General features: G+C 43.7%; 2 protein-coding genes across 3 annotated transcripts, besides 2 other annotated features; one reads left to right on the forward strand and one right to left on the reverse strand.

Annotated features, from left to right (window-relative positions):
- The first annotated feature begins 303 nt into the window (after positions 1–303).
- OR52I1 (olfactory receptor family 52 subfamily I member 1) lies at positions 304–1,278 on the forward strand. The gene has a single exon (NM_001005169.1). It carries the CDS (start codon positions 304–306, stop codon positions 1,276–1,278), a length of 975 nt encoding a protein of 324 aa, NP_001005169.1.
- Positions 1,279–4,936: 3,658 nt separating this feature from the next.
- On the reverse strand, positions 4,937–14,496 carry TRIM68 (tripartite motif containing 68). Of its 2 annotated transcripts, NM_018073.8 has the most exons (7): positions 14,292–14,496; positions 11,344–11,826; positions 9,510–9,605; positions 8,417–8,677; positions 7,929–7,951; positions 7,292–7,392; positions 4,937–7,091 (listed from the first exon to the last, which is right to left on the reverse strand). In NM_018073.8, the coding sequence occupies exons 2-7, from the start codon at positions 11,767–11,769 to the stop codon at positions 6,541–6,543; spliced, it is 1,458 nt and encodes a 485-aa protein (NP_060543.5). In that variant the 5' UTR covers positions 11,770–11,826; positions 14,292–14,496; the 3' UTR covers positions 4,937–6,540. The 2 variants fall into 2 exon arrangements, with proteins under 2 accessions (NP_060543.5, NP_001291425.1); NM_001304496.2 differs by lacking the exon at positions 11,344–11,826.
- Positions 14,061–14,140: a silencer, noted in NCBI's record as "silent region_3095". NCBI's record gives its function as "represses an Ori minimal core promoter by ATAC-STARR-seq in GM12878 lymphoblastoid cells {active_cell/tissue: GM12878}" and the evidence as "EXISTENCE:reporter gene assay evidence [ECO:0000049][PMID:35858748]".
- Positions 14,451–14,660: a silencer, noted in NCBI's record as "silent region_3096". NCBI's record gives its function as "represses an Ori minimal core promoter by ATAC-STARR-seq in GM12878 lymphoblastoid cells {active_cell/tissue: GM12878}" and the evidence as "EXISTENCE:reporter gene assay evidence [ECO:0000049][PMID:35858748]".

Raw genomic sequence — 18,801 nt, forward strand, 5'->3', positions numbered from 1 at the left:
AGATTTCAGGAAACTGCAAAAGAGGTAATTAACTTAACCTGGGCATGGGGTTGGGTGAGGAAGAGAGCAGAACACAAGTCCCTAAGGAAGGAATTCACGAGCTGATCCTTCAACAATGAATAGAAACTTGTAAGGAGGATGAAAAGTAGCACAGTATTAGAAGTCATTTTTCTGATCCTGCCATACCACCAAGCTGAGAATATCCCTAGGTTTTCCCAGCACCACAAAGAGGAACTAATCTTATAGGACTGCACCATTCTCTTACATCATCTATACATTAATAGGCAAGAAGTCTCACCTGTGATGCTGGGTCCAGCTTACAACCACACAATGGAAACCCCTGCCTCCTTCCTCCTTGTGGGTATCCCAGGACTGCAATCTTCACATCTTTGGCTGGCTATCTCACTGAGTGCCATGTACATCACAGCCCTGTTAGGAAACACCCTCATCGTGACTGCAATCTGGATGGATTCCACTCGGCATGAGCCCATGTATTGCTTTCTGTGTGTTCTGGCTGCTGTGGACATTGTTATGGCCTCCTCCGTGGTACCCAAGATGGTGAGCATCTTCTGCTCGGGAGACAGCTCCATCAGCTTTAGTGCTTGTTTCACTCAGATGTTTTTTGTCCACTTAGCCACAGCTGTGGAGACGGGGCTGCTGCTGACCATGGCTTTTGACCGCTATGTAGCCATCTGCAAGCCTCTACACTACAAGAGAATTCTCACGCCTCAAGTGATGCTGGGAATGAGTATGGCCGTCACCATCAGAGCTGTCACATTCATGACTCCACTGAGTTGGATGATGAATCATCTACCTTTCTGTGGCTCCAATGTGGTTGTCCACTCCTACTGTAAGCACATAGCTTTGGCCAGGTTAGCATGTGCTGACCCCGTGCCCAGCAGTCTCTACAGTCTGATTGGTTCCTCTCTTATGGTGGGCTCTGATGTGGCCTTCATTGCTGCCTCCTATATCTTAATTCTCAGGGCAGTATTTGATCTCTCCTCAAAGACTGCTCAGTTGAAAGCATTAAGCACATGTGGCTCCCATGTGGGGGTTATGGCTTTGTACTATCTACCTGGGATGGCATCCATCTATGCGGCCTGGTTGGGGCAGGATATAGTGCCCTTGCACACCCAAGTGCTGCTAGCTGACCTGTACGTGATCATCCCAGCCACTTTAAATCCCATCATCTATGGCATGAGGACCAAACAATTGCTGGAGGGAATATGGAGTTATCTGATGCACTTCCTCTTTGACCACTCCAACCTGGGTTCATGAACACAATATCTGTTCAGATCCAGAGCATTCTAGCCAACTTCAAAGATGCCTCAGAGATCTGTGGAGCTGGATTGGTTTACCTGGTACTATAAGGAAATCTGAGATGAAGCTATAAAGGATATCTTTGTGTAACTTTTAAATTTCTACCAATAATATGAATGAAATGTTTCTAATTTTCTGACATTTTTAATGGGTTAATATGATAGTGTCTGAATCAGAGTAAGTTTGGTATAGAATACAGCTCTGTAATTTTTCCTTCTATAGCTTCTGACCTATATTTCCTACCTAATATCCTACCATCCCCTCTGCTGAAGAGACCAACTGTTTGGTATCTTCCCCTTAACCTGACTGATATTCTCAGAACTGTTCTTTCCTCCAAGTGATTACATGGAAGAAGCTATTAATATATGACCCTGCCCTCTGGCCCAATAGTGATCTCACTCCATTTGGGTCCTAATGCCCACACCTAGACCAGGGTCCTTCCCAAGCTGTATGGTCTACTGTTCATCTGGGGAGATATAAACTTGGGATCAGAGATGGTGGTAATTCTACAACACATAAACTGGAAGGAGAAAATTGGGATTGGCCCATGCATCAAAAGCCAATCACCAAGAACGGATGAAGAGAATAAGTCCTTGGTTCTCTGATTCCAAATCACTTTGGACACCCAGGTATATTGTTATGTTCTGTAAAATACCACTTAACTTTTAAATGTATCTCCTATTGTTAAGCTAGTTGGAGTTAGTGAACCAATTACCAGCTTTTTGTTTTTAAGCAACAGAAGCTAAGTTAATATAAGTTTGGTTTTGGAAATCTTTCTTGTTGCTTCCTAGTCCCAGTCCGTGTAACTTAACCTTAAGGCATAAAAGAAAGGGATCAAATATACACAGGTCTTTCTTCTTGTGGGCACCTCTCAGGGGGTGTGCTCTGTGATGAAGAGGCTAATAGAAAACAATGTAGATAAAGAAGTTGACAATAGCAAAGACTTGGAACCAACCCAAATGTCCAACAATGATAGACTGGATTAAGAAAATGTGGCACATAGACACCATGGAATACTACGTAGCCATAAAAAAATGATGAGTTCATGTCCTTTGTAGGGACATGGATGAAGCTGGAAACCATCATTCTCAGCAAACTATCACGAGGACAGAAAACCAAACACCGCATGTTCTTACTCATAGGTGGGAACTGAACAATGAGAACACATGGACACAGGAAGGGGAACATCACACACCAGGGCCTGTTGTGGGGTGGGGGGAAGGGGGAGGGATGGCATTAGGAGATATACCTAATGTTAAATGACGAGTTGATGGGTGCAGCACACCAACATGGCACATGTATACATATGTAACAAACCTGCACATTGTGCACATGTACCCTAAAACTTAAAGTATAATAAAAAAAAAAAAAAAAAAAGGAAGTTGAAATGTAATCACTCTTCTCCAGGTCACTGGATGCTTCCATGATTTTTGGTTTTGTTTTTCCCCTTCAGAAAATCTTGAACTGAGTAATCAGTATACGTTAAAAGAAAAAGATCTTATATATAAGAGATATGTACATTTGAAAATCTTAATAAAAAGATAATTTCCTACTAGTGTTAAAATTAAAGTGCGAGAGGAAACTGTTAACAGCAAGCTACTATATCTGAGTCTTAACACTTCCTGTCTACTGAAAAACAACATTAATTCAGAGTATTAAAAATTAAATAAAACATGGAAAGCAGATAACACAAACTCTGACATATTGTATGAACTTAAAAATATACCCAATACATTTTTAATTCCATAATTTTAAGGGAGTAGTCCTATACTGCCCAGTACTCATATGACAACTCTTTCAAATGGACAAGCTCCTTAGTAACTTAACATCTATACTTTCTACTAATATTAGACTTGTTTACCTGCCAAGAATGTATTCAATTTTTGAATACCAGCAGAGTAGAAATCAGCCTCTTAAAAATCTGATAATGATGCACAGAGGTCCCAAAGGGCAGGAAAGTGAAACTTTTTTCCCTCACAACCCCCTAACGTAAAAACAAAACAAGATTATGAGGTTATAACATAAAAAAACAAGATTATAAGATTATAAGATTGTTAAACACATTTGATAAGATTTTCATTTTGAAATGTCACATTATTCTTTCTCCATAAGTAACATGAAAAATTGGCTAGGTCCATTAAATGAAAGCATATTAGATGCATTAAAGAATCTGATGTAAAGCAACAAAGTTATAGTCCAGCCTGCACCCCAAACACTAATTTCTTCCCAGCATTTCCATCAGGAAGCTTGCCTTACCAGGTTTGCGTTTCATTCTCATTGGATTATTCTAAAAGTAGATGGAACCTACTGCTAGTACTCAAGTATTTACTGAACCACATACTTCCCAAAGTGTGCTGATTCCTTTCCATGGCTACCCCGAATGGAAAAACCTGTGCTTCTCACCATACATTCAGATATGGCCCCTGGTCCATCACATGAAGCCACGTGTGCTCTCTTAACTAGTGCCTGGGATGCACAGTAGATCCTTAATGTTTGGATTTTAAGAGATTACAACCAATCCTGATTGAAAAAAATGAAGACTGCCTATCTGTAGGTAGTTTTGAACCCAAGGCTTTGCCCCTATGTCTACCTTTTTTCTTTCTTTGCAGTACCCAGGCATTTTACCCTCTTTGCAGCCTTCTCCCTTAACATTCAGGTATTGCATCCGTCAGTTTCTCTGCAAAACAAGAGTAGGCAAAGCTTGTCCCTGCCTTGCAGTGAAGGCTTGCACCAAACTGGGGATGCCACCCTAGGCATTGCAGGGAGCAGTGCAGGCACTCCACCTCCACATGGCCACCTACCTTCTGCCCTACTAGACCACATATGAAAGGTACAGTAAAAGAAATTATCCATTAAATTCATATTTGAACAGAAGTATAATTAGGTATCCTCTAGTTTTTACTGCCCCTTTTAGATAAAAGCAGGTTATTTTTGTTTTGATTCTAGTCATGTGAATGAAAGTTCCCTCACTTAAATATTTAATACACACACACACACACAGAGTACTAGACTAGGGGTACAGTGGTGAACAGACAAATAAGGTCCTTGTTTTCATATGGTTCTCAGAAGGGAAGTGTAAACAACTACTCTGTAGAAAAGGGTTTTCAGGCACTTAGAGCTTCAATCTTCTTGTCTGGTCGTAAAAATCAGACAATCTGTAATAATGTGGATTGTTTAACCTTACGAGTCTTCTAACAAGTAATCAGAGTACCCAAACAGGCTTATAAATGTAAAAAACAATCAAACCAACCAAAAAGAGTACATTACAAATGAGGCCATTTCATTCCTTCCTTCATTCTAAGTTCGAATGAATTTATCAGCTAACAATCCTCCGTTTCTAGGAACCTTCCAAGATTTGTCTTAATAGCCAAAGAACAACATTGATTTTCCCTTAACCCTTTTGTCCCAATTGTCCACAGACAGAACTGAAGTCCTTCCTAGGGACCTACTTCTCAGTTACCCCCAGGGAATCCCCTGACAAAGATGCTCCTCTAATTGAGGCAGGCTCAACCCTTGGCCAGCACCAGGGTCTGTGCCTCACTAGCTCATTCCCCTCCAGGCAGCTGATGGAAACTTCTCCCCTTCTACTACTGATTCTCAAGAAGCAGTCTGGAAGCATGGTGGACAGAATGCGTTTATTTCTCCAGTTTGGCCTATTTTAACTCCTACATACATGAACAGCCAATACAATTAAAGTAGAAACACAATTTTTAATATTCCTTATCACAGCCATTTGAAGCTCCTTTCTGCCCAAAAGGTCTAGACTGCCAGCAGAGGCCCTGAGACAAAGGCACTGCTATAAGATGCAGACTGTATCATGGCACAGTGGGAAAGTCACCATGTGCAAAATCCACGGCTTGCCTGCCTCTATGCCTCAGACAGGAACAAATCATGGGATGGATCTGGGATCTATACAACAGCTCCATGAGGCAGGACAATCATATGAGGTTTTATGCTGAATTACACCCATTTTCCCAATGAGGACACATAAAACCTCCCAAACATGTGAGAAGTTTCAGACCCAAATATAATAAGTGATGTATAGGCATGTGACCTGCGAAGTGAGTTTGTCAACCTTGTTTCACTTGAGTGTGAAAAATGCTTTATAATTTTGATAATCTTACCTTCAGCAGCTTTGTAAGAAATAACTTGCTCCAGGGGCCGGGCGCAGTGGCTCATGCCTCTAATCCCAGCACTGTGGGAGGCTGAGGAGGGCGGATCATGAGGTCAGGAGATCGAGACCATCCTAGCTAACATGGTGAAACTCCGTCTCTACTAAAAATACAAAAAAATGAGCCAGGCGTCGTGGTGGGCGCCTGTAGTCCCAGCTACTCGGGAAGCTGAGGCAGGAGAATGGCGTGAACCCAGGAGGCAGAGCCTGCAGTGAGCCGAGATCGTGCCACTGCACTCCAGCCTGGGCAACAGAGTGAGACTCCGTGTCAAAAAAAAAGAAATAACTTGCTCCCTTAAGGCCATTTCAGTTTCCTCATTCATAAAGTGAAAATACAAACTAAAGCTCGCAGGTTTTCTGATCCTGCCACTTAGAGAAAAAAGGCAAGACTAGGACACTGGTCTCCTGGAGTCCAAGGGACAGTGATTTGCCCAGCTTGTGCTCAGAGAGGGAACGGCAGTGGGGTGGCTTGGGCAGGTCTGTGTCCCCCTGCTGCACTGAATTTCTCTTGCCAGGAGGTCAGAAGGTGAGAGTCACATAAAGGTTGCTTAGTTATAGCAAACCTCAGGGGAAGCATCCTCTGACTGGCCTCAGCACAACAACCAGCTCTGGGTATGCGCAGCATTTTTTTGGCCTATTGGGAAAGCCCATCTAATGGTGTCCTGAAGACTGTATCTACTTCATCATCCTCACTGACTGAACTGTGACACCGGACGGGAATCAGGGAAGAGGGTGGTTGGCTACTACATGGACAAAGTCCTGATCCTTACCCCAACGAGTCACCTTAGAACTGCTCTGATCCTCACCATCAGCCCTGTCGTGCTTCCCTCATGGGATGCAATGCTCATTTGACTGGGCCTCTGCTTTTTAAAATAAGTGGTTTCATGACAGACTTCAGCCTGGTAGCAAAGACCAAAGGATCAGACAGAGGAATCCTTGGATACTGGGCTCAGCTCAGTTTCAGGGGATACCTGTCAGTGGCTCGGTCCTCCAAGCCCCATGGGGGCCAGGCCCAATTCCAAGCCTCTCTGGTTAGGGTGGTAGCTTTCTTAGTCCTCCCCATCCAGGGAGCAGATGGCCAGAGGAGCAGTGTTGTTGGTTCCAATGCTGTAGCAAGGACTAAAATAGGGCAGGAGGCGCCCAGGGAAGGGATAGCGGGGGAAAGTGAAGATGTGGGAGCCACAGTCAGTCACATTGTAGAAAGAAATGTCATGGGCCTCATAATCCACGAAGATTCCCACCCGGCGAGGAGGGACCGGCAAGGACAGGATTGGGTACTCATCGGTGCCTGCTCGGTACTCATTTCCCTTCCTCAGCCTTATCACCCAGAATCCATAGTGGGGGGATAAGTAGACCACCTCCTTCCGGTCTACATTTTGCTTACATACTCCCAGGCCCCACTCAGACCTGTCTCCCACCTCCACCTCCCAGTAGTGCCGGCCTGAGGAGATGCACTGGCTTCCCAGGACGATATTATAGCGGTAAAATCTCTCAGGATTGTCTGGCAGTTTCTGGTTGGTGTCTCCATAGTGCACACGTTTTCTGTCCTCAGACACGATGAGACGGGAGTAAGCAGTATCTGGATCCAAGCGCACATCAGCTAGAAGAAAAGGTCCTGGTTGGTAACAGTGATATAGGGCCAGGGGACATGGGTGAGAGCCCTCTGATAAATTCAGCCACAGATTTCTCAATGATGAAGGGGTGAGGCTGGATGGAGCACCCAGAGGGCACTGAACCATTTTCTATCTCTGGGAGGGGTCCCTCCCACTGTCCACTACAGTCTCCCCCAGGATCCATTACCTGCATAAGTCTTCAGGATCTCTCTTAGCCCCAGCACACGGCAATCTGTCTTCAACTCCAGGGAGATTGGTTCTGGCTGCTGCAAGCTCCAAGATTTGCTCCTGGTAGAGGAGGGTGAACCTCAGGGCCAGGAGTCCCGGCTTTGTCACATGGGCCTTATCTTAGTACAGGGAAGAGGGGCTTGGCCAGGGACATAGTGAACCCCAGCAAAGCAGAGACATGATGGTTACGGTTATTTGGCTGAGCCTCAAGCTGTTTGTGTGCAGAGGTGAGAACACCTGCATGCCCATGCTATGGGAAGGGTTGGATGTATATTTGATTCTGGGAGAGGAAGAAGTGCACACATTTTCTGTCGGACATGAAGGAGTCATGGGCAGTCTTTTATCCTCTTTGAGCAATCTACTTGAAACCACATATTTTACAGCTTCACTTGATATACATTTGATCAAGTACAAAGAAGAAAAAGGAAAGATCAACAAAGATTCCTTAGCCATTACCATGTAAGTGGGACGAGACTGTGGACCAGCACCTGCTTTTCTGTGTGCACCGAGTCTGTGCTCCGTCCCTACTTCTGGCTCTAGTTAGGCCTCACTATCCCCTACAGGGCTGCTTAGAGGCTCCAAGGGTGAGAACATACCTGTTTAACACTTCCTGAATATCCTGGAAGGAGAAAAAAAAATGCAGCATCTGAGTAAGTGCTATTCCTCAGAGGGAACAGACATCGAACTGGCAGGGAGTTTCTCTAGGGGAAGGGAGACAGATACCAAGAATGGAGAGATGCCATGCAGAGGTAAGGAGAAGCCTATGGAAGGATGGAAGAGCAGGCTGAGCTTTGGCTGAACTGGCCAATTTCAGGCTCCATCTCAAGACTCTCGGGCTAGAGGAGAGGGCCTGGAATGACGCCAGAGCTGCCTGAGCACTGCCCCACCTATGATGCTACAACAGACCAGGTCATCCACCAGCCAGGGATAGGGAAACAGCAGGTATTAGCTGGGGAAACACAGGATCCATGACCAGCTGGCAGAGGGCTGGCAGTCCCTACTGAAGGGTAACTGATGCTCTCTCCTGGAGTCTCAGTCTATCTTCAGCTGTCACTCAGGGTTACCAGGAAAACCTACTACTCACCTGCAACATCCAGCGGACAGGCCTCTGCGACCTCTCTTTCAACTCTGCAATCATCCTCCACAGGACCTGGCTCTGCTGGATGAGCTCGCTATGGTTCAACTCCAGTTTCTGCATGGTCTCCGCTGCCTCCCGCTGTAGGCTGGCCAGAGCTGCTGCTACCTCTGCCCCCAGCTGCCGATGTGGTGGCTGCTTTTTCTCTAGTAATCGCTGGTATTTTTCAAACTCCCATACAATACTCTGTTTTCGGGTTTCCACCTGTATCTGTGGAGCCAAGATGGAAATCAGCACTGATACTTTCAGTCACCCAGTATCGAGCATACTGACATATGCATACACACATACTCTGCAATGGTACCAACCACGTGACAGGCTATGCAGGGGCAAAGATAAAGGATACTATTTTTCCTAGCTTCCTGTTCTCCCAGCTCCACCACATGCTTCTAGGTCTCTATTGTCACTCTTATTGACTCCAGTAGGGTCCAGGATATTATCTTAATACTACATGCTCTAGACTATTTTCCATTTTCAGAATAATGACAAGATGTGTTACATTTAAGTCTCTAAGGCAGTGTAACTTAACTACACTGTTAGGTGGTTCATTTTCATGTTGATATTATATCTGTTCAACATGCTGTTTTAGATTGGTTCAGTGTTACTTTCTGTTGATCAAAAGTTCTAGTAGTTTGATACTTACTGGCCTCAAATTTATTTCAGAGGTGATTTTACAATATTTTAATAACCAGACTCTTAGCAAATATTCTCTAACTTGGGAAAATGAAAGAGAAACTCTGCTTTACAAGCATGATATAAGCCATGCCACTGTGAGCTGACACACGTGAGCATGTGCTTTTCCTTTCTCATATAGGAGGATACAAGACCAGAGGTTATCCCTACATCCCCATGGAGAAACTGGAATTAAGAGGTGACGTGGCCTACCTAAGGCCTGGGACAGAGAAAGCAGGGATTAGAACCCTAGGCTCTGTGATTTCAAGCCTCACATTCTGCCTCACAGTGATGAGAATGCTACCCTAGGCCAGCTCCAGGACCACACAGGACGACTGACACAAACTCCTTTCCCCACGAGGCAACCTGCCTTCCAGGTGGCAGTTCGTTTCCTTTCACCAACTTCAAGCTTCCAGGCCTCTTCTTGCTCTTTCTTCAGATGTTCGAGGGCCTCATGAAGTTCCCACTGCAAGAGACAAAACCCTCATGAGGCCACCTCCGGCAGCCTAGGCTTCCTAGCACTGGGAGGCTATGGGAGAACCAGAGTCCTTCAGGCAACCGGCCACAGTGAAGGCTGTGGGGAAAGGGAATGCCACAGAGGAAGCAGACTCTGCCCAGATGACATCCGAGGTAGCTCTCTGGGCTGAGAATCATTTCAACTCCCACAGTCTCTAAATGTCTGTAAACTGGAAGAAAAGGTCCATTTACAACCTCTCCACAAAAGTACCTTGGACTTTCCTTTCCATGCCAATTTTTATCCTTATCTTATTTATTTTTATCTTACTGTCTGCCAGAACCTTGTTACTCCAAATGTGGTTCAAGTGGATCAGCAGCATCCACATCACCTAGGAGCTTGTTAGAAATGCAGAATCTTGGCCTTACTTTAGACCTACCAAATGAGAATCTCAATTTTAGATGGATCTCCCAGGTGGTTCATATGCTTATTAAGGGTAAGAAGCACTTTCCTAGAATAGTAATGCAAGGGATTTCTACTGAAAAGCATAAACTGTGCAGAAACACCATTTAATTCTGCTATTTTAACAAAATAGCAACTATTTTGTTAAAATATATCAAGTGTCAGGTATATTTTCAGCTCTAAATATGCATGTGATACTTACAATCCTCTGAGGCTGGTATTAACCTTATTTTATAGACAAGAAAACTGAGGCTTAGAGGGTGACCTACCCAAAGTCATTCAGGTAATAAATGGTTGGGCTGGGATTTCATCCAGCCCTTTACCCCTATGTTATACTAGCTCCCTTTTCTAATAGTCTCAAAAACAGAATGAGTTAGTAAATACTTTTCATATTTTAGAAATCCCTCCCATATAGGAAAAAAGCTAATTCAGGGGATTTGTCTTACACTCTCACCTTCCTATTTCAACTCCAAAAAAGAGAGTTGAGACCAATGCTGGATCACTGGATCACAGAATCACTGAGATAATGGTTCCGATAAAGATGTCATTATGGGCATCTGATGAAAGAGTAAAGAGAAGCCCAGAAGCTGGAAGTTGATGAGGTTAGCTACAAAAAAGGAGTCCCAGGTTTGTCAGAGATGACTTGTCAAACAAACAAACTTGGGAGAGGAGAAAGTGCAAGAAGACTTGAGTCACAGCCTCTGATCTTCCTTTCACTAACTGGACCTGAAGTCAGAAAGGACCTGAGAAGACTATATCAGATGACCTCTCTCAATCTTGTGACTCACCCATAGTTCTTTCCACCTCTAAAATAAATTGCCATGTTTTCAACTTTCTAAGCCTCACTTTTGTCTATAAAATGAAGGAGGGAAGTGATCCATTCAATGCCAAATGACTACTTGCAGCACTGCTAGGAGGAGTTTGCAGGTCAGGTGTAGCCTTGACCATCTATATAAGAGCCTCATGCCTAAACTCATCCAAGGCATCCAGAATCTCAGTTAAAACCCAAACTGTTTTCCTTCACATTCTCATTACTGAAATCAGCCTTGGGTTAGGAATTGAGCCCTGTTAGGATGTAGGTGTAGAGGAAGTGGGAGAGCAGGAAATCAAGGAAGGTCATGAATACAAGGAAAGGTATAGCTCTCTGTATCAGATTCCAGGGATCTCTGGGTGTCAGGAACCAAAGGAGTTAGCTCTCAGTCTGTGGTGCTGGTGGTCAAGCCCTTGATCTAGAAACAGCCAACTTGGGGCCGGGGTTAGACTGGAGTGGCCAGCTTCCATCTCTCACCTTGTACTCCCAGGCAACATCCTCCATTGGCACAACACTGTGGGCCTCATGCTCTGGGGACTGGCTGCAGGCCTCACACATTATCAAGACATCCTCTTTGCAGAACATCTTCAGCTTTTCCCCATGGCGCTCACACAGGTCACCCTTCAGCCCCATTCCTGGATGTAGCCTTAGCAGACGGACTTTTTCTACAACATTGGCCAGCTGCCAATTAGGCCGCAGGTTCCTTGGCTGGACAGGAGCTCGACAGAGGGGACAGGTGTAACCCCAGTTCTGGGATTCTCCTGGGATCTCCCAGAGTCCAGAGAGACAGCTGTGGCAGAAGCTGTGGCCACAGTCAATGCTCATGGGCTCCCTCAGGAAGGTCATACAGATGGGACAGGCCACTTCTTCCACAATGGCTTCCACCAAGGCTGTGGGATCCATGGTTCCTTCTCACACCCTCCTCAGAACATGAATGAAACCAGGGAGAAGTAGTAAAGGCTGAGAAGAAGAAAAGAAAGACAAATAAGAGAAAAAGGTAACAGAGGAACAGAGAGATCAGTAACAGGAATAATTAATTTCTGGGGGAAAACCACCTTCCTTTTGACCCTTTACTGACCTTCTTTAATAAGCATTGGCCTTTCCAACTGAAGGGTGCATGGTCTGAACGGGCCACATTACTCATACCATGAAGGGGATAATGGGGATGCCTAAGTGAGTGAATATTGGGAGTCCTCGGTTTTCATTCACTTGGTCAACTCTGATTTTCCTCTGGGTTTGCTCTACTTGACCATTACCACTCCAATCATGCTCTACAAATCAGCATTATTTCTCTTAAACTTGGGTAAGTTCACATAAAATGTGGTATTTCAGTATCTGAAGTAAGGCCATAAATACCTCCAGCCTCACTCTCTGGTATGTTTATATTTACATTAATATAATTCAAAGTGTCAAAAGGTAGTATGCCAGAAGCCCATTGCCTACAAGCTCAATTTGTTTTCTTGTGTTGCACACTAAAATGCAAAAACTGTAAAGGAAACAGCAGTTCTTTTCCTGTGCCTTTTAAACCCCTGCCCACTGCTCCAGCACTAATGTACTTATTATTCACCAAGATGTCAAGGTAGTCTTCTGAGCTTTTAGTGATATGCTAGAAGCAGAGATGAAATAACATCCCTTGGAGATTAAAACAAAGATCATTTGATGATCATCACACCCATATTGATGAAATCACTACACCAGCAAGAAATCTGAGATTTTTGCCAGGGCCACATATGGGCATGGAACTTGGTCAATGGCAGGCTCTTGGCTCAGTTGGCAATATTTATTCATTCACTTTGCTAGTTTGTGTTACCAGCTAGAATCTATACAAGGAAGGGACATGTTGATCCTAGTTCCTGTTGTATCCTCAGCACCTAAACAGCACCTGCAATGCAGATATTGCTGAGTAAATATTTGTTGAATGAATTAACCAGCTAGACATAGGAAATAGTTCCTAAACCCAAAATCCTTTTAGCATTTGTGAGGTAAATTGAGAGCATACATTAATAATAAAAGCAAGCACTCTTTGAGCAGTTCTATGATGTGCCAGGCACTGTTCTGAGCACTTTACATGAATTAAGTTGGTTTATTTCACAACCCTAGGCAGAGGCCATTATTGTTCTCATTTTACAGATGTTTGGCTTGGGGCTCTGCCATCTATCTTGGGCAAATTTCTTAACCTCTTTAGCTTTAAGGTATAATACAAATTCAAGAGGAGAGAAAAATCACTGTGGTTTAGCGCAGTCCAGTAGCAGGAAGCAGGAAGCAGAGCAGTAAATCTTGCAGGACTCTGATATGCCATTGGCAGGGCATGCCTTCTCACTAGACTCCCTGCCTCCTGCTTTTCTTCCTCCCACTATCACTACCAAACTGTGGGATCCAGTATCCTAAAACCTCATTTTGGTAAATCACTAACTTACTAAATAATCTATCCTGGCTCCCGGTTAACAAGATCTCTCCTTGAAACAGCACCTGTGCCCAGCTAGGCAAAGGAATAAACTTCCACACACTCCCGCAAACCCCTCGTCCATTCAATCTACCTGACTTGGGTGCCTGCTATTCTCCCAGCTGAAAATGACTTCTACATGATCCTGCCTTTGACGTCATTTGCCATGTATTCGTCTATTGTCTTACTTCCCATACTAGAACTTTTTCATGTGGATAGGGTCATTGTCTGTTTTGTCCATTTCTATTTCCCCAGTGCCAAGAACAGTGCCTCAAATACTTGTTGAATACGTGAAAACTAAATGTAAATGTTGAGTTCCAACCGATAGTAGATTGAAAGTGGAGGATGTGTTAATATCCTTAGCTAAGTCAGTAGAGACATTAAGAGACACCATCTAAAGTCAATAAAACAATAAATGGAAGTTGATACCCATTATTTAAAGCTACAAATGGAAGACCTAAAATAGCGATGGAAAATTGACAAGATTGTGGCAGTAAGAAAGTAAGGCAAAGAAATATCAAAATGATAAATCCAGAAATACAGTGGAACGCATATTATTTTGATTTAGGGTGCTAAAAACATCTAAATGGGGACAAACTAAAAGTGGCAGCCTCTGCAAAGATCTGGGGATGGGTAGTTACTGCTCTTCAAAATAAGACCTGCTTTAATGTTTGACTTTTTATTATACATGAATTACTTTGAGAAAATTCAAATAATTAAACGTTCGGTTGCTTTGACTGTGCCTTCCGTAGGGTACAGCGAGAGTCTGAGAAGGGCATTTGAGAAGGGGGCGGGGCCTGGAAGACTTCCAGTTAGGACCCCAGCGGGAAGGGAGTCGAGGGGCGGGCGGTAACCTCCGGAGTCAGGGAGCAGCTCCTGGCCTGGCCACAGGGCGTTGGGCAGGTCCCCAGGACAGCGGGCGGGTGGGGGTAAAGTGAGCGTGCGGGATCTGACTTCAGAAAAGGCAGAGTTATCTACCCACCTCCCTCCTCGGCCCGGACTGGCGCTTCGCGGCGGAAACTCAAAGTGAAGAAGCCTGGTTCCGCAGCGTCCAATGGCCCAGCGTCAGAAGCTGCCGTTCCCGGCAGCTCAGCACTTAGGGCCAGAGAGCGGCAGAGGCCCAGAACCCAAAGCCCGGCAGCGCAGGCCCAGTAGCCCGCAGCTCCCAGAATACTACACCCGGCTCTAGGCCCCGCTCGCGGGACGGCAGCCAATGAGCGGCCGGCTGGGCCCAGGTTGGCTTCGCCCAGGGGGCGGTGTGTTTGTGGGGGCAGCCAATCACAGGCAGGGACCAGGGTACCCCTAGCCAATTGGTGATGAGACGGGGGTTTCGGCGCTTCTAGGCATGTCAATGTTTTTTCTCTACTTCCTGGGTTTTTCTGGTCCCTTCACCGACTCAGATTCCCTTAAACTGTAGAGGGTTCTAGGAGTTAGTTCTAGGATAGGTCAAAGGATTGAGGCTCCCAAATGATGCCGCTCAGGCACTGCATTAAGAGAGGCTCAGGTGGCTATTCATTTGCCAGTTTGACTTGTTAAACTCAGAAGCCTGAGATTGGCCAAGTCTGGTTCTGTGACCCATCTTAGCAAAGGGTTGGGCGCACATATGGTGTGGACTCTGCTGTTCCTGGCAAGATTCGCGACCTCTCATGGTTCCAGGCTTTAAATACTGGGTTCTTAAACAAAACAAAACAAAACAAAACAAAACCCTCTCTTTTTTCGTTTTTACTTCAGCAACCAGCTTGTCATCACTATTGCCACAATCCACTTTTAGAGTGAAAAACAGACAACAGAGACCGGGAGTTGATGGAGAAATGGAAACCCTGGTCAAAAATTGTCATTAAAAAAGGAAAAAAAAATTAAACAACTGGTATCCCTTCCTCACCCAAACACATAGACACATGCACGCACACACAAAAACTGTTACTTAAGACAGTGATATGGGTTTTTCTTTGTACTCCCAGGGCCTTGTCCTTCTCTTGACACTTAGGTTTTAATAAGCAAGTGAAGGCACCTCCTATCCGCATAGAAAATAACCAGGAAATCTTCCAATTGAAGCTCGGTTCCAAATTATATAATATCTTAATTGTTAGGACAGATACTCCAGAATGCTCATGCCAGTGTCTGAGCCCCGGCCATGGTTAAAATTCTGAAGGGTGAGGCCCAGAAATTTCCTGCAACAAATAGGTCTATGAGAAAAAACAAAAGTATCTTAGGTCTGAGCTGTACCCTCTGTCTCACCCAGTTTTGGAGAAATGGCTGCTCTAATAGAATAATGAATGGATTAATTGAAATAAGCCATTTTAAACATTTATTTAACATCAATTTTCTTGACAATATTTTACTGGGTGCTGGGATTACAACTATGGGACATATAGTCTCTGCCTTTAAGGAGCTGAAGGTCAAGTTGGTTGTACTGCTCTGGAATCTCTGTGAAGTTAAAACAGTTAATGGGGAGATCATTTTCATGTGTAAGGTGCAATTTGTAACTATGACGGACTGTCAAGAACCCTGGCAATCAGGGTAGCTGGGGGTGGGGGCTTGCGTTCATGTGGGGAAGGCTGGAGAGAGGGCTTTTGAAGACAGACCAGTTTACTTCCAAGGCATAGAAGCTTTCCTTTACAGATGTCTTCAGAATGTTTTGTTTGTTTCTTTATTTGTTTGCTGTGAGACAGGTGTGTCCAGGTGAGGCTCTGTCGTGGACAAATTCCACAGCTGTAGCTGCAGACCCCAACCCTCTGCCCTGAATCCAGGATAGACCAGGACAACAAGATGAGTGGCTAACTGTAGGATGGTGTCCATCTGTGCTCTAGGGGAGGAGTAGCATCAAAGGAGAAGCAAGAACTGAGAACTGTTTGGGGCACTGAAGAAGTAGGACTAAGGAAGAGTTAGGGGGTTAGTACAAATCTGAGGCCTGGTTTTCTGGAAAGAGACCAGAGACTGACCTTATTGCATGTCATACAACATGCTTGCTTAGAGACCCCTAATTTATTTTCTTCTCTTACTCTTTCTGAGGAAGCATGAGCCACACCCTCAGTTAGTTTTGTATAATCTTAGGCTTGATGAGAATATAATCTTAGTCTTGAAGGCTTTAAAGGGGAAGAAATAGCTGTCTGTGTTAGTGGTGTGTCAGTCAGCAGGAGAACCTGCTAGGGGTGGAAGGAGGAGGGTAGGAGTATAGCCTAGACCATGAGTAGATACCCCGCTCCACCTTGAAAGTCTCCTACTGGACCTCTTATGATGGAGTTAATACCTCCTGTTTCCTCTATTCCAGATTGTTTTCAGTTTCCAGAAGGCAAAACTGACATCTCCCAGGAGTCCAAGTAGGAGATTAGGGCCTCCCGTCCCTATCTACTCAGTGCTAGCCTTGGCTAAGAGAGAGGAAATTCCTGCCTAGAGGGGAAAATCTGCAGGACTTCGTTACCACTTTCACTTTGGCAGAGGAAGGAGGTCAGGGATGGAAGGGGAAGTGAGTCTAGAAATTAAAACATAGAATTCTGTCTACAGGTGGTGGAGAGCCTTTCTGAAAGTGCTTCTGGGTTGAGGCTGTCACCTAGATTTTATATTAGAGTTTAAGTGTTCCAAAAAATTAAGAAGCAGGAAGTAGAAAAGAGAGAACAATTTCAGAAGCAGACGAAAGGAACAGTAATAGGAAGATCTAGCAAGGATGTGGTGGGGCAGTTTCAGTGTGAGATGCCATGGACAGGAAAATGGCAGCATATGTGTGTGTGTGTGTGTGTGTGTGTGTGCATGAGACAGAGAGACATAAATAACTAAATAAAAAGGTATATATCAGAATATAGATGTATATTACAATAGCAATTGTTAATAGTGACACACAACTAACAGTAAGACTTTTGTACAGTGGGAAGCAGAACAAGCCAAATGCTGTTATTAGTTTTGATATCAGAGTTGCATTAGATTAAAACAAGAAGAAGTAGCTTTATATGTCCTTGTATTTGATGTCTAATTCAAGTTCTTTAAATGTCGAATCTGTTTCAGTAAGTTACTATTCTCAAAGTATCAGTGTCTCCATGGTTATGAACAATTACACAAATAATTATTTTTATTTTTATTTGCCATTACTTTGAGTTTTTTTCTTGATTCTAATCCCTGATATTATATATTTACCACTACTTTATGTTTTTTTTTCTGAGTGACATATCTTTCTTTCCAAAGATCTGTCTAATTGATTGTTCCTTTCAAAGAACCTGTTAATTTGTTATTTCAATTTTTTTCTGATTTTATCTTTATTATTTTTTCTTGATTTATTTTACTTATATTTATTGTCTTATTTTTCTTGCTTCTTGCATTGATTGAGGAGTGTAAAGTTTTCCCTAAATATAAGTCAGGCTATATACCATAAATCATCTTGGTGCTTTCGTTATCATTTGTTATTAAAAAAATTATTAAGCACAGTTTCAAATTTGCTTTTCTCTTGAAATTACTTAATTAAATTGAAATTCTCTCTCTATATATATAATTTATTTAGGTTTGTTAGCATTTTATAACCACAATGCAATAAGAGTTTAAAAAATGCCATTATAACTTATCATTTGGGAAACTGTTTTGTGGCCAACTATATAATTGCATTATATAATTGTTCAGAAGGTACTGGAAGAGAAGGCATATTCTCTATAGTGGAAAATACTAAATTATATAGTCTTCTTATCAGAGTGTAAAATGTGTTTGTAGGGATTTGGCCTAACTCATTGCCACGTGAATAGCAGACAACTGAGAGAAGAGCCAGTCAATCAAAATGCCTACTAAAAACAAGAGTTGAAAATGCCAGAAACCTATTTTAAGCATAAAAAGGACTTATTAAAGAACATTTGGTAGTCCATTGATGATGTATGCAGGAACATCATCAAATTACCCCATAGGTCCACTCTGATGGAACTACCACTACTGGCTCCATTGAGCATAGTCAACTAGGATCTCACTCCTAAACCTGGGTGCAGAGACTGACACTAGAATCTCTGCCTCTGATATCTCTGGAAGATTTACTCTTCTGTCAGCACTCTTCACCAGAATGATTCAATGTGGCATTTTGCTTTTATTTTCCTAGCTTCTGAATTGGCTTCCTGGAGGTGTGCATGATTGACAGCACTTAGACAAAATGCCTTCTCCCATGGTGGGTGATTATTCCCATCTATTTTCTCCCTTTTTGTGAGGGGGACATACAATCTCATCCATTGCCTCATGACTCACAGTGCTTCCCGATAGCTGGAGAATGCTTTCTAGGACATTATGAGACTTGGCTATATGACCATCTTGGGTCGTTGAAATAGGAATGGAGGGAAGTGTTTCAGTTCCATAGAGAAGCTCTAAGAGACATTTCATGTTTGTACCACCTTTTGTTGTTTTCTCATTGTCACAATAAAGGCATATCACAAAGAGGGGCTCCTGCTTCAGCTTGAGTCCTGGATGCAAAGACATGTGGACTGGGATCCTAGCAACCTATCTGCAGCCAAGGACATGACGTGTGAGTGAAA

The sequence above is a fragment of the Homo sapiens genome, chromosome 11 (assembly GCF_000001405.40).
Source record: "Homo sapiens chromosome 11, GRCh38.p14 Primary Assembly".
Lineage (NCBI taxonomy): Eukaryota > Metazoa > Chordata > Mammalia > Primates > Hominidae > Homo > Homo sapiens.